The sequence below is a fragment of the Homo sapiens genome, chromosome 12 (assembly GCF_000001405.40).
Source record: "Homo sapiens chromosome 12, GRCh38.p14 Primary Assembly".
NCBI classification, from domain to species: Eukaryota; Metazoa; Chordata; class Mammalia; order Primates; family Hominidae; genus Homo; species Homo sapiens.
The window spans coordinates 118,390,368-118,405,154 of record NC_000012.12 but is presented as its reverse complement, the minus strand read 5'-3'; the positions used below and the strand labels follow the sequence as shown (position 1 = coordinate 118,405,154).

At 44.1% G+C, this 14,787-nt stretch overlaps 1 protein-coding gene across 6 annotated transcripts in view, besides 1 other annotated feature; it reads right to left on the bottom strand.

Annotated features, from left to right (window-relative positions):
- SUDS3 (SIN3A corepressor complex component SDS3) overlaps positions 1 to 14,787 on the bottom strand; it is a 41,479-nt gene that overhangs the window by 12,879 nt on the left and 13,813 nt on the right. For 5 of the 6 annotated variants that reach the window (NM_022491.3, XM_017019817.2, XM_047429356.1 and 2 more), the window contains 5 exons: positions 13,873 to 14,029; positions 4,401 to 4,496; positions 3,335 to 3,396; positions 3,151 to 3,172; positions 1,638 to 1,743 (listed from right to left, as the gene is read on the bottom strand). In NM_022491.3, coding sequence (NP_071936.2) covers positions 1,638 to 1,743; positions 3,151 to 3,172; positions 3,335 to 3,396; positions 4,401 to 4,496; positions 13,873 to 14,029 — 443 coding nt within the window. Of the gene's footprint in view, positions 1 to 1,637; positions 1,744 to 3,150; positions 3,173 to 3,334; positions 3,397 to 4,400; positions 4,497 to 13,872; positions 14,030 to 14,787 lie in introns of those variants that run through there. The other variant, XM_047429355.1, reaches the window with a different exon arrangement.
- Positions 108 to 157: an enhancer, noted in NCBI's record as "active region_7112". NCBI's record gives its function as "activates an Ori minimal core promoter by ATAC-STARR-seq in GM12878 lymphoblastoid cells {active_cell/tissue: GM12878}" and the evidence as "EXISTENCE:reporter gene assay evidence [ECO:0000049][PMID:35858748]".

Below are 14,787 nucleotides of genomic sequence, written 5' to 3'. Positions count from 1 at the left end.
CATCTCATTTTGCCCTTCTCAGTGTTAAGCTGTTAGAGCCTGCCACCTAGTGGCGATGTGTTCTGAGACATAATGTTAAGATATAACACAAACCGACCTTTCTGAAGAATGCCAAAGAACACCAACTCAGAGGGGAAGAAGTCATCAAGATCAGCCTTAGAGATAAAGCCAGCCTCCAGCATCTACTGGGCAATTAACTCACTGCAACTTAATAGGTGGAAATGATTTACTTCGGCCATGACTAGAACCCTAAGCATTTTTGACAAGTACAATGTTATCGGGTAACCAACCTAACACAATGCTGGGTTTTTTTAAGAATTCAAAATAAATAATCATTACCCCAATTTTGGAACTTTTGGTTAGATACTGAAACTCAAAGGGTCATTATATAGCCATTATAAATGATAATGAGACACCTTACAGTAACCCAGAAAAACATTCTCAATATAACCAAACAGAAAGGCAAAGCAAACCGTATGTCCACTATGCCTTAGAATGAATAGACTATGCCTGCATATGGATAAAGAATAAAAAGAAATATATCAGAATGAAAAGACCTGAGAAATGATGGCAGTATCCATTTCATATCTAGCAGAAAGCGTAATACAGAACAGAAGAAATGTTTGTTGAATGAACAAAAGTATGAGCTTTTAAGGTTCTTTCATACTGTTTTGCCATTACCTTTCCAATGAAAAATGCTAGGCGGTCTGAACGTTTCAAAGAGTCTTCAATGTAAACCAGGAATGCAGGACACAGTGGCTCATGCCTGTAATCCCAGCACTTTGGGAGGCCAAGGCAGTAATATCATGTGAGGTCAGGAGTTCGAGACCAACCTGGCCAACATGGCGAAACCTCGTGTCTACTAAAAATACAAAAACTAGCTGGGCATGGTGGCGGGTGCCTGCAATCCCAGCTACTCGGGAGGCTGAGGCAGGAGAATCGCTTGAACCTGGAAGGCGGAGGTTGCAGTGAGCCGAGATTACGCCACTGCACTCCAGCCTGGCGACAGAGCAAGACTCCGTCTCAAAAAACAAAAAACAAACTAGGAATGTTTTAGGATACAGTTCCCCCAAGCAAGTGTCCTTGACCACTTTTGCAGCTGGATCATGTAAGAAAAAAGGGTATGTGTCATCAAAAAACATCTAATAACATCTTAGAAATTCACAGTGTACATTAGCATATCGCAGGACCCAAAGGGTACTACAAGGGAGCAACCCACTTATCTTAATTAACATGATCATCCCCCAAACTGATTTGACCACAAAATCCTTTAATCCGAAGAGCACCTATTAACCTTAGCACACAGGAGCAGAGGTAAGAGGGGTCAGAGGGGGGACATACACCCCAGCCCCAGTTGGCAGGGGTACCACACAAGATACCAGCCTGCAAATTCTAGTACAGAGACACCAGAATGGAGAAGGAAGGGGAGCAGAACATGGTTTTGGGAAACGCTGCTTTCAAAGATCCACCGGAAGTATTGATTAAATGACTGCTAATACATTTTTTAATGGGTTTCTACTTTTAGTACTATGTAAGTTTAGCAGCAGCCGTGATCTGAAATAACTACAATAGCCCCAGCCCTCTTTCCAAGTGGTTCATATGAGACTCTTACTAGTCCAGGTTTTCCCATAACATACCATCTTTTGTCATAGTACAGTTTGCCATCTTCTATCCGAGCTTCGAACCTCTGGGCTGGAGATTCCGCGGGTGTTGCAGGCAAGTGCTCAGGAGAGGATGGAGATGCTGGAGGAAACCAATACTTACGTGACTAAGAATGTAACAAACACATGCGAGTCTACCAGTTAACATGCTTTAATTGAAACACTATCAGAATGTGGTAATAATCATCACTGAGCCCTTACAGTGATAATGCATGGGATTTCAGCAAAACTCTTGTATATTCCATCTAAACTTGATCATCAAAGCAACCCTGGGAAGTAGGCAAGGCAGATTAGCCTCTCAAATGGAAGAGACACCTGGGTTTCAGGAAGATTAAGGTCAAATGTGCAAATACATAAGGTCACTTAGAGTAGGACTAAAGCCCTGGTGATCAAAGGGCAAGTATTATGAAAATCTCTTAAAAATGCAATCGTTTTCAGCAGGGTGCGGTGGCGCACACCTGTGATTCCAGCATTTTGGGAGGCTGAGGCAGGTGAATCACGAGGTCAACAGATGAGACCATCCTGGCCAACATGGTGAAACCCCATCTCTAGTAAAAATACAAAAGTTAGCTGGGTGTGGTGGCACATGCCTGTTGTCCTAGCTACTTGGGAAGCTGAGACAGGAGAATCACTTGAACCTGGGAGTCGGAGGTTGCACTGAGCCGAGTTCACGCCACTGCACTCCAGCCTGGCGACAGAGCAAGACTCCATAATCCAAAAAAAAAAAAAAGGAATCACTTAAAGAACTACTAACTTTACACTCACACAACTCCCTCACCCCTCCCCATCGTGCCTCAGAAGGTCAGGATGTCTGTGGACCGCAGTGGCCCCCAGGAAGATATTACCTAGAAAAAGAAGACTCTTGTTTTCTTCCACAAGACTCAGTAAGTAGAGGGATGTGTGAGTAATCGAGTAATCGAGTAATCATGGTGCTTTAAACAAAAAAAAGATGTCACCAATTCAGAATTCTAGTTGGCAGCTAGCACTGATGATCTCAAGTGCTGTTCCGGAAGGAACAACTATGAATACTGAGCTGGTTGGTCTCTTCTATGAACTGCGAGTCAGAGCAGCCTTGGAATGCCTTACCAGAGTCAGGCCACGAAAAGCCACGGGAGCAGAACTGCCTAGGACTTGGCTTTAGAAAGCCAGTAATACTTAAAAATCCTTCTGGTTTCATTTTCAAAAATGGATGTGTACTTAAATCTTATGCCTGATGCCTACACAGAAGGAAATCAATCAATCAATCAAATGTCTCTTTTATGATAAATCCTAAGAAAAAAATAAAAACAACAAAGCAGGGGTTATGAAAAAAAAAGAAATCAGGGAGGGGTATAGTTAAGGTCCCCTTCAGTTTTCATGATGACTACTCTTAGGCAAATGATGAACATTTCATTTTTGAAAATTGCAACCATTTCCTGACAGGTATTCACACCCTTTTCCAACAACATGATAAAAAGGTTGCACAAATGCCAACACATCATGCACTCACCTGGTCTCTTGGGTGACTTAAGCTGTAGGAAGAACAACAACAAAAAATCTTAGAGAAAATCATTTCAGGTGCAACTTCAGGTGTCAAAGGTATCATAATGATTAACAAGTAACATGTTAACAAACAAAATCAGAAAACCACAAAAGCCTGAGTTTTCAAATAAATCAAAAAAGTCAAACCGTACCTTATTTAATGTTCTCAGATCCTCCATGATCTGTTCATCTGTTAACAAATAGTTTAGCTGGGGTGTTGAGAGTTAAAGGACTGTATGTGAAAAGTACAGTTTCCAGGCAAAGAGTAATCAACACAATGGTACCAGTATTTTAGAATTTACAAAGTATGATTTTGTTAAATGATGTTTCTACAGTAACAGTTTGCTTCTTAGAAATTTATGATTCTCCTACTAAATGTCATGGTACTTCAATACATAAAAGAATTCACATCCCCCACTGCTAGGATGAGAAGGTGGAATGAGCTTCATTAGGCATCTACAATAACACAGCAAAGGAAACAGTAAAATAAGAATTTCATCATGAATGTATAAAGCGCTTTTGTTCCAAAGATCTAAAGACTTCCACACACACTCACCCAAGGTAAGGCCAATCTTCCCTCAGCAACTTAACTCCTGTTGTGAAGGAGAAGCAACCTGAAGTTATGCCCTTTCCTGATGGTACACAAATGACTAAGCCATTTTGGGCAGAGAGCTATTCACCATCTCCTCGAAAGGAACAGAAACAACGCTTCTCCATCTTTCCTGTTTCCGTTACCATTTTTATGATTAAAGGGCTGCTTTATGTCTGACTGAAATCTCATTTGCTTTAATTTAAAAACAGGTTGCAATCCACTACATTATGGACATAGATAACAGAGGTACATAAAGGTAGATATTACTGCCTTCATTTTACAGTTGGAAGGTGGAAAATTACAGGTGAAAAAATTAAGGCACATCAAGTTTTCAGATGCCCCTGAATCTTGATGTTAGCATTAAAACCAGGCTGAACTTTGCATGCAAAGCACCTTTCCAAATCACAACTCTATACATCTCTCCCACCAAAAGCAGTAGCAAATGAGGACTACCATGATAAAATGAGCAACCCCTGACCTGTGGACAAACATTTAACACACGCTTTCCAGTTAAATGTTACTATTTTCTGTAGGACAACGGCCATGTGTACCCTAGCAAACGGATAAACATAGGATTCCACAGTCTTAAAAAAGAAAGGCGGTTAAGGCTTGATGTAAATGGATATCTGGAGCAGGTTTCCTCCTCTTGTCTGGGATGGGGACGGGATCATTTGGTCGCCTCCGCAACTTTCTGGTCATGATAGGTTTCACCTCCATAGAATCTGTGGCAAGAATGGAATGGGTAAATCTATCCAACTCCCACTTGAAGTCAGTAAGAATTTCTATAGTATAAGAATATCTGCCCCCCAGCCACCCAATCAGAACTGTTTTACTGGGGGTGTTTGTTCTACACATGGTCGTAGCCAGACACCCCATTAGATTTTAGAAAGCGTTTATACTTGTAAGATTCAGACCAGCTGCCCTAAGTGCACACCCCTCTCAGAAATGCAGCCCTACCGTCAAGCATTACAGCCACTGTGGGCATCTCTCCAGCACCCTCAAAACCTAGGGGATATTCCTCCTCTCCCTCAAATTAAGAAGCCCAGAGTCACAGGCTCTCGGGATAGGAAGGAACCTGAAGGTCATCTCAGCTGACTAATTTCTGCAGCTCCCAAAGAGGGTGGGTGTGCTGAAGCCCATTGGTATGAAAGGCTCTTTTAGAGGCCACTGGCCTCAGTGCCAACATTTTTATACGAAGTTTTCATTTACAGACTCGGATTTTTTTTCTCTATAACCTTTTGTAGCTACTTGACTATCAAGATGACACAATGAGGGCTCACAATAAAAGCCTCTTTCCCTTCTTCTTCACTCCTCTCTGTGGTCTCACACTGCTGCTGACTCCCCACGCCTTCAAATAGCTCCTCCCAAGAGGTGGCGCACAAGGAGGTGAACCTGCCTCCTCGGGGTTCGCTTGTCTGCTCCCTGAATACTGATCATCTTTGGGGTCCAGTCAGTTCCTTTCAGACTGTATCCCAACCAATCTGCAATCACCACTTCCAGCTCCACACATCCCTCTGAATGGCAATAGATACCTGACACCACACATTCTCCATGCCCCACAAAAACTCAGTTCTCCTCGTTTCCTCTCCCAAGGTTGCTTCTTTTCCTGTATCTCAGGGACATCCAATCTATCCCTCCTTCCATGCGAGAACAAATCTGCATCTGTGACTTGTCTTCCTTCATCCAGGCATGAGGTTCACCAACTAATGTTGGTCCTGCCTCCACTCCATCCCTTCATCCTTTCACTGGCTACCTCCACGGCCTTCAGTGGTCTTTCCCATGTCCCATCCATCCTCCCCTCCCTCAAAGTGATCTTCCTGAGACACAAATCAGATCGTTTTGTGTATCACTCTTGTTACTAAATATTTCTTATTTTTTCAAGACAGGGCCTCACTCTCTCACCCAGGCTGGAGTGCAGTGGCACGATCTTCATTCACTGCAACCTCTGCCTCCCCGGTTCAAACGAGTCTCATGCCTCAGCCTCCCAAGTAGCTGGGACTACAGCATGCGCCACCACACCCGGCTAATTTTTTGTATTTTTAGTAGAATCAGGGTTTCACCATATTGACCAGGCTGGTCTCAAACTCCTGACCTCAAGTGATCCGCCCTCCTCAGCCTCTCAAAGTGCTGGGATTACAGGCTGAGTCACCACACCCAGCCATCTTCTTACTAAATATTTCAATGGCTCACCACTCTCCACAGGATATAAGCCAGGCCTCATTTCTGGTCTTCCTCCCTTCTTCTTCATTCACGCTTACACCGTGTGCAAGCCTTTAGCTATCCTGTTACCCAAGGGCACCAGACTTTACGCCTTCAAGCCTTTGCATGGCTCTCCTCTGTCTAGCTTCCTCTTTTCTGCCCAGCAAACTCCTACATAATACCCGTTGAAAGTCAGTTTAATACCCTCTCCCTTCTGTAACAGGTTTCAAAGGCAGAAACTCATTCCATCCTCCAAGTAACCAGAGCATCTATACAAACCTCAAGTAGACCAAGTGCCACGGTGTACAGGTCATTACCTACCCCTTTGGATGTCTGAATTCCACCCCAACACCTAGCAATAGTCTGGCACAGTAGGGGTGCATAATGTTTTGTGCAGAACGGGTAGATGAGGTCAAGTCTGATCATGGGAGGAAGTTAATTTGTGATTATGCACACAATCAGCAGAACAGGCAGGGCAGCTTCAGGGAATTCTACCAAGCAGTGTGCAGGATCTTAGAGCATGTCATACATGTGCCACAGAAAATTTGAAAAAAAAAAAAAAAAAAAGGCTTCTGCATGTTGCTCTTAAGAGAAATGGGCAGTATTAAATATTTTTTTCCTATGAATGGAATAGAGGTAAAATAAGAACCAAAGCCCTAATGAATATTTATAAAAGTGTACTTGGAAGTATAAACACACACACACACACACCAGAAACAAGTGGTGAAGGCTTCTCCCTAAAAGAAATCTCCTATCCTATGCTGAGGTGCCACCCTTCTCCAGTTAGTTACTGGCCAGTGACACAGCACCACAGTTAAGAGCTGGAGTGTCACACAAACGTGCGTTTGAATCCCTGCAACGGCTGTGTGACCTAACACAGGTTTGTAAGTGCTGTATGTCTCACGTGTCCTCATCTAGAGAATAGAAGTATCAATAATGCCTCCCCCACAGTGCGCCGTGAGGGTTACATGTGATGATATGTGTGAAATCTTAGCACAGTGCCTGGCGTAACGGGAGTTCTATCAATGCTAGTTTTTATTATTATATTTTCAGGCAGGAAAAAACTATACAAAGATCCTTTTTAAAACTCAAGGCACAAAGAGCTGAAAAAAAGTTACATAGTCGAAAGCAGCTGATGTCAACTGTGAGGCTGTGCAACACTGACACCTAATTTGGAAAATAAAGTGTAAAGGGAGCTCACCCAACCCAAGAGAGCACCAAAGGAAAAGCACATAGCCCATGAACATTATGGAATGTTCTGTCTGCCAAAGAGAGTGGCTGAGTGTGCTCTGCTCCACAGGCTGCCAAGACTGGGGAGTGGGGAGGGTGGACAATGCATGATGGATGTAAGCCAAGTAAAGGCCAATCACGGCCACTGAACTCTGAAAATCATAACTGTATCACTTACAAACCAAAAAATACAATCAAATTCTTATGAAATGGTAAAAAAAAAAAAATCTATTTTATTAGCCTGGTCACAGCAACAATCTGATTAATTTTATCCAAAAGACTGCTTTGCAGAAGGAAGAGACTCTGGAGAAGCCCCTAAAACTTATCAGCATGTCTCCATCTCCATCTAGGAAAGAGGAGACAGAAGGGAGCAGTCCTGGCCAATAGCCCAGGTGGAAAACATGATTTGAGGCCATGATCAACATGTATCACAGCCCCAACAGACACAGTAAGATTATCCACTTAAGTCACCTTGCTCCAACGCCAGGTTGGTCTAGTTGGCTTTTACGGTGGATTTTTCATAGAAGGATGGAGTCTGACAACCCAGGTCTGAGTGCACCTGGAAGTTCTATTTCTCACTGTAAGCAACGAGCTGGTATCCTGAGTTTTACCATCAATCTCCTATGACTGGGACTCTAAGAGTCCCAAGACGCTCAATCTGGCTACACTGACAAAAATCAAACTTCCAGAACTGAAGCTCAGACCCTGGGGTGTGACAACCCCAGAGAAGACACCTGAGCAGGGATTCAGTCAGGCTTCCTCTCCGACATCATGCACCAACCATAAAAAAACTCGAACTGGCTGAAATTAGAAACCCTCTCTGATCCAGAGGTCTCCTCATAGGTTTGCTTCAGTGGAGATACTATTTTATCATTAAACATCAAGCACTTAAAGCAGACTTGAGAGAGCGTTATGTGAGAAAAAACATCAAACAAGCAACAAGACTAGGCATATAACTCCTCTCCAAACCACCCTGCAATATGACTTTTAATAGTGCAAATCCTCCTGTTCTACTCACTAGGAAACCTGATGGATACAGGAACCCCCTCACCCCTCACCACAGGGAGCACAGATTCCGACATCTAAAAAATGGGAGCTCAGGTTGAAGCAATGCTAGGTGGTAGAGTCATTATAGCACAGTCCCTCTGGAGAGATATTCTTGATAAATTAATTACCTGCAATTTACATACAATTACCAGTTTACTGGCTGGCCTTTTGCTGTGCACTTCTCTAGGCCCATTCATTCATTTCCAACAGCATACCTGCCTATAGTGTACAACGGCAGGAAAAGCTTCAATGCAACATACTTTAACTATTAAAACAAGCTCATATTTATCTATTGGGAAAAATATTAATTGCAGTGATTCAAAGGGTCATCCTTAAAAAATGGGATATAAGGCTGGGTGCAATGGCTGACGCCTGTAATGCCAGCACTTTGGGGGGGCCAAGGAGGGTGGATTGCTTGAGCCCAGGAGTTCAAGACCAGCCTGGGCAACAGAGCAAAACCCCATCTCTACAGAAAAATACAAAAAACTAGCTGGGCTAGGTGGCAGGTGCCTGTAGTCCCAGCTACTTGGGAGGCTGAGGTGGATCATTTGAGCACAGGAGGCAGAGGTTGCAGTGAGCTGAGATCGTGCCACTGCACTCCAACCTGGGTGGCAGAGCAAGACCCCGTCTCAAAAAATTAAATGTACTTTAAATTTAAAAAGGAAATTTTCTTTAAAAAGAAATGGGATATAACTGGCAGAAAGAAAATCCACTGCAGAGTAAACATTATAGCAGATTGGCAATTACCTCCAAACCAGGGCAGGGACCCATAGGCTAGACTAGCAGCCCAGAGCAATCCTAGCAGACATCATGCCCTTCTCTAGCAGGATGGAGGGCGCCATCAATGTTGACACAAATTAATGCTGCGGTGGTAACAGAAGAGCGCCTAAGGTTTGTGGGGGTGGGGAATAAGAATGAATGTTAGGGCTGGGCACGGTGGTTCATGTCTGTAATCCCAGCACTTTGGGCAGATCACCTGAGGTCAGGAGTTCGAGACCAGCCTGGCCAACAAGGTGAAACCCCGTCTCTACTAAAAAGTATAAAAATTAGTCAGGCATGGTGGCACGCACCTGTAGTCCCAGCTACTCGGGAGGCTGAGGCAGGAGAATCGCTTGAACCCAGGAGGCAGAGGGTACAGTGAGCCAAGACCGTGGCACTGCACTTCAGCCTGGGTGACAGAGCTAGACTACGTCTCAAAATCAATCAATCAATCAATCCACAAGAATTAATGTTAGGTCTTTGGAGGCCAAATCAGAGTAGGAATAAAGGGACCAATCTCTTTAAAGCCAAAGTTGGCCATTATGAAGGGAGAGCAATAAACAGTGAGCCAGTCGAGCCTTCCTCTCTGCACCCTCAAGCACATTAAAAGACCTGATTCTGGCCGGGCGTGGTGGTTCACACCTGTAATCCCAGCACTTTGGGAGGCTGAGGAGGGCAGATCACGAGGTCAGGAGATCGAGACCATCCTGGCTAACACAGTGAAACCCCATCACTACTAAAAATACAAAAACATTAGCTAGGCGTGGTGGTGGGTGCCTGTAGTCCCAGCTACTCAGGAGGTTGAGGCAGGAGAATGGCGTGAACCCGGGAGGCGGAGCTTGCAGTGAGCCGAGATCGCGCCACTGCACTCCAGCCTGGGGGACAAAGCGAGACTCCGTCTTAAAAAAAAAAAAAAAAAAAAAAAAAAACCCTGATTCCACAATGCCAGCACCAGGAAAGAACATCTTGAGGAAAGGCCCACTCTGCCCAAAATCCAGGTCACCTCTTCCATTCTCCCTCTCCAGATATTTGTGTGGGGCCTCTTCCTCTTGTCTTGACACCCAAATAGCTACTCATTAGCATCTATTGCATACGCGTGAAACTTACTGCTCCTATAGTAGTACAACCACATATATCTTAGGGTTTTAAAATGAGTAAAAAAGCCAGATGTAGTAGCTCACTCCTGTAATCCCAGCACTTTGGGAGACCAAGGCAGGCAGATTGCTTGAGCCTTGGAATTCAAGACCAGCTACGCAACATGGCAAAACCCTATCTCTACAAAAAGTACAAAAATGAGCCAGGTAAGGTGGCACATGCCTGTAGTCCCAGCTACTCAGGAGGCTGAGGTGGGAGAATCACCTGAGCCTGGGAAGTCGAGCTGCAGTGAGCCCCGATGGCACCATTGCACTCCACCCTTGGCAACTGGAGTGAGACCCTGTCTTTAAATAAATCAATGAGTCAAAAACAAGCCTGTCAAATTGTTACCTTTATTTAGGGGCCCTCCATCTCAACACATTACCTTGGGGAAGTCAAGGAAGCTGTGTCAGCTTTCTAACTACCAGAAAATAGCCTCCTAGAAGACACAGACTTTATCCATTAGCCTGATTTTGTGAGTCACTTAGTGCCACCACATGTATCTATGGTATCTGCAGAGAGTCAGTAGTAGTGGTGGTGAAGAGAATATGCTTGGAGTGAGACAGACACTGGCTGAACCACTATCTATCTCACTGAGGGACTGTGAGCAAATGGCTCCACTTCTCTGAGCCACCTCTGCCATTTATAAAATCAGAAGCGATACCCCCAAGGTCAAAGGGAGCTGCGGGAACTCAGTGAGTTCCCAATCCCTGAGTGTTCACTCTGTAAACCAGCTACTTTGTGAAGCAACTTATAGGCATTATCTCATCTCACGTCACATCTACCCTCTGCAGTAGGTTCTATCATCCCCTTGCCAAATGAGAAAACCCTACCTCAGATTTAAATCTGTGACAGTGCCAGGATTCAGCCCTGGACCATCAGCCTGCAAAGTTAGCTCTAATATATTTATGTAATGCTTGGCTCAGTGTAAGTGCTTGGGAAACAGACTTCTATTTTGACATTGTAATGACTTGTGGTATCAGCTATCAACCAGCAGGATCAGCGACCCCTGGGGAAGGTGGTTAGAAATGCAGGATCTCAGCCGGGGCACGGTGGCTCACACCTACAATCCCAGCACTTTGGGAGGCTGAGGCAGGCGGATCACCTGAGGTCAGGAGTTCAAGACCAGCCTGGCAAACATGATGAAACCCTGTCTCTACTAAAAATACAAAAATTAGCCGGGCGTGGTGGTGCATGCCTGTAATCCCACCTACTTGGGAGGCTGAGGCAGGAGAATCACTTGAACATGGGAGGTGGAGGTTGCAGTGAGCCGAGACTGCGCCACTGCATTCCAGCCTGGGCGACAGAGCAAGACTTGGTCTCAAAAAAAAATTAAATTTAAAAAAAAAAAAGAAAGAAAGAAATGCAGGATCTCAGCCTCCACTCCAAAGCCCCTGAAACAGAATCTGCATTTTATCAAGACCCCACTGACCTAACACATTGAAGTTGGGATGCACTGACCTATAATTCTTCCTAGCTTCTCTATGTACAGTTACTCATTTCTACCTGAACAACCCAGTTTTCCACAAGAGGTTTGGGCGGTGAACAGTACATCCTGCCAATTCCTATGGAGGTTTATAAACGCTTTAAGTCATGGTGGGAAAGAGCAGGTCGCCAAATACACCCGTTTCCAGTGGGTTATTTAGACTAAGCTTCTCATCAGCGTCTTATCCTACTTTGCTTTTCAAGAGACGTTCATGTTGAACCAAAAAAGGAGACTTTAAAAAGTATTTTTCAGGGCAGAGCTGGGCAACAATGATATTGGGCATCAATCCACAAAGATGAACTAAGTCACTCAATTAGAGGAATGAAATCAAGCCTTTAATCCAACACCATAGCAGCGCCATCTGTGGAAATGTTAATTACCCTTCTAGCTCCAGCACCTTGTCTTCCAACACTCCATCATTACCTTGGCAGTGCTTTCCATACCAAGGGTATCAAAGGTGCCCTGAGGAAGGACATCCATACCTTTAATGCCCATGGCTAGCTTTAAACACTTCTGTAATCTATTTTATTGCGTTACAAATGATTTCCCTACATTTATTTGTCTTTTCTACCCTGGCAGGCTCAGCCTCAAGTCACTGAGGATGCCTCCTGTCCCAGTTAAGATTCTGGCTGTAAAACTGCCTGGCCAAACAATGTCTATCGCTTGTCAATAATTAGGACGCCAAATCACAGGTAAGGTGATGATACCCGTTCCCCACAGACGGAAAGGGAGCAGCTGTAAACGGATAATATTTCCCACTAGCCTAATGAAGGCTCCCAAACATCTGGTGGCTCTAGCAGAGAACAATGAGGCATCAATGCCAGTCACAGCCACTGTCAGAGAAAATGGTGTGCAGGTCCAAAAGCCGGCAGGCAGACTGGTACCAGATAAGGTACCACGGTGCTACTGGTCTCATTAAATAAGCACTTTCACAAGAACAAGACTATACTGCCTGAAGCTGCTGTTAGCTGCTGTTTTGGCATCCATTCTCACAAAAAAACATTTCTGAGCTGCTTTCAGAGGCCTTCAAGGAGCTCATTTCTTTTGCCAACTCTCTCTATGAGGAAGCTAACAGAAGAGAGATTTTTCAAAAGTCAGACCCCACCTTAGGCACAACCACATTCTCTTAAGTGTATCATGAGGATTGGAGCCAGAAGTCTGTGTCAGTCAGAAGGCCAAGCTGGTTCACAGCACCAGGAATATATAGAGGGGAACAAAGATCTTAACTGGCTACTTTTAATTTCAAAGTCAGCCCTGAGAACGTCCACAAAAACACTGCATGCATTTCCTACAGAACCCTGCTAAAATCAGACACACCAGAGCCCCAGCACTTTCCGAATTGTAAGAGTTAAATTTGGGGATGTACAGAAAGGCATGCCACCTCCATATCCAAGTGACAAACTCACCACTGACTTGCCTTGCAGTATTTGCCAAGTTCCAAAATAGCTAGTTCAAGCCAATTCCCTGTATCCTTCTAGGAATCATCAGTCTACATATGGCAACAGAAGAGTTGGCCCATATTGTTTCTCCCTGAAACCTGCCTACAACCTGCTGAGTTCCCATATGTGGATTACTAAATTCTAGAAGGTTAGAAAGGCATTGGCTCTGAGTCTCATGTAACTTTCCTACCTTTATGGGAAACTAGTTCAGTTTGGCTATCCTGTTGGAATCATATCAAATCTTTCTGAAATGTTCAGTAACACCTGGCAGGAGAGATCTAATAGCATAGAGGATATAGCCAAAAGCCTTTGTTCTTACATCTAGGTCAAAGGGAGACAATACCTTTTCTGTAATTAAGGCAGACTGGAAAAAAACAAAGCGAGGGATTCCCATCACCACAGAGGGACTTGCGTAAGCAATTTGGGAACATAACCAAGATACAAATGGCAGCAGACCCAGGAATTAAGTAGAGTCTAAGCCAGAGCTTGCAATTACTATTAAAGGTCTAGCAACTATTGAACATCTGTTATGCACAGGACACTGTACTAGGCACTCATATGTCTAACCACAATCCTGTGAGAGGGTATGATCAGCCCCATTTCATAGAGGAGAAAAGAGAAGTTAAGCAGCTTGACTAAGGTCACACAGCCAATAGAAGGTGGAGGAGGAACTCTGATCTATGAGGTCAAAACCCACTCTCCACCTTGCTCTGCTCTTGAAATGTAAGACAAAAGTAACTGGAACAGCCCTTCACACCCCCCCGCTCAGGGCCCCCAAGATCCCACCCCATAGGGCTTTCCTACCTCCAGTCAGTTCCATTGTCAGCTTTTCATTTTCAATCATTTTCTTCTTTTCTTCTAGCTCAGCAATCAGGTTCTCTTTCAGCTCAACCTTCTTGTCTTCAAATTCTTTCACTGCTGCCTTCTTTTCTTTAATGTAATTTCGTTCCACTTGTTCAGTCTGAGCAAAAGAGAAACACGGGCTGGGAGTACACAGCCCTGGGAGCCAGGGCTCCAACTCAAAGTCTAGCCCTGTCCTCAACTGCAAAGTGTGTGAGAGTTTCCCCCTCACACACACTTGCAGTAACAGTGTGTCTGAGAACAAGCTTTCCAGCGAGGGTATAAAATCAGACCCACGTGACTTTTGCTTATTTTTGAGTACACCTCACTTGCTACCCAGATATTTTTTCGCTTCCACATCCTATATTTTATACTAAAACACATTTCTCAAAGGTAGTAAATAATCGCTCATAAAGTTACAGCTTCAAAGGAAAATAGATTCTAGATAAATTGTGTATATTCAAAAAGTTACTATTATTTTTGATACAGCAAGACAAAAGAATGGAACAACATTTAGTAAGTGCCTGAACCCCAAAGTATACATATATTGATATTATACTAAGACAAAAATTGTATATGCCTCCGCTTTTCAAATCTCGCCATTGTGGTGACTGACATAGGGGCCTATGGTGGGCTAAGGATGTGAGTACCTCACTTGAGTGTACCTTCAGGCTGATCACGTGATCCTTCTGGCTGAGTGACTATGGGCACCACACTGATTTAAGGAAACTGGGTTCCAATAATGTGGCTCTGAAAAACCATGACTTTCTCAAAAAGTAACCCCCACACACATGCTAGCCACTCTGGGAGCAGTACATCATTCAAGATTCAGGCCCTCATCTCTGTATCACAGCACAGAGTCTGACACAGAACCAGCAC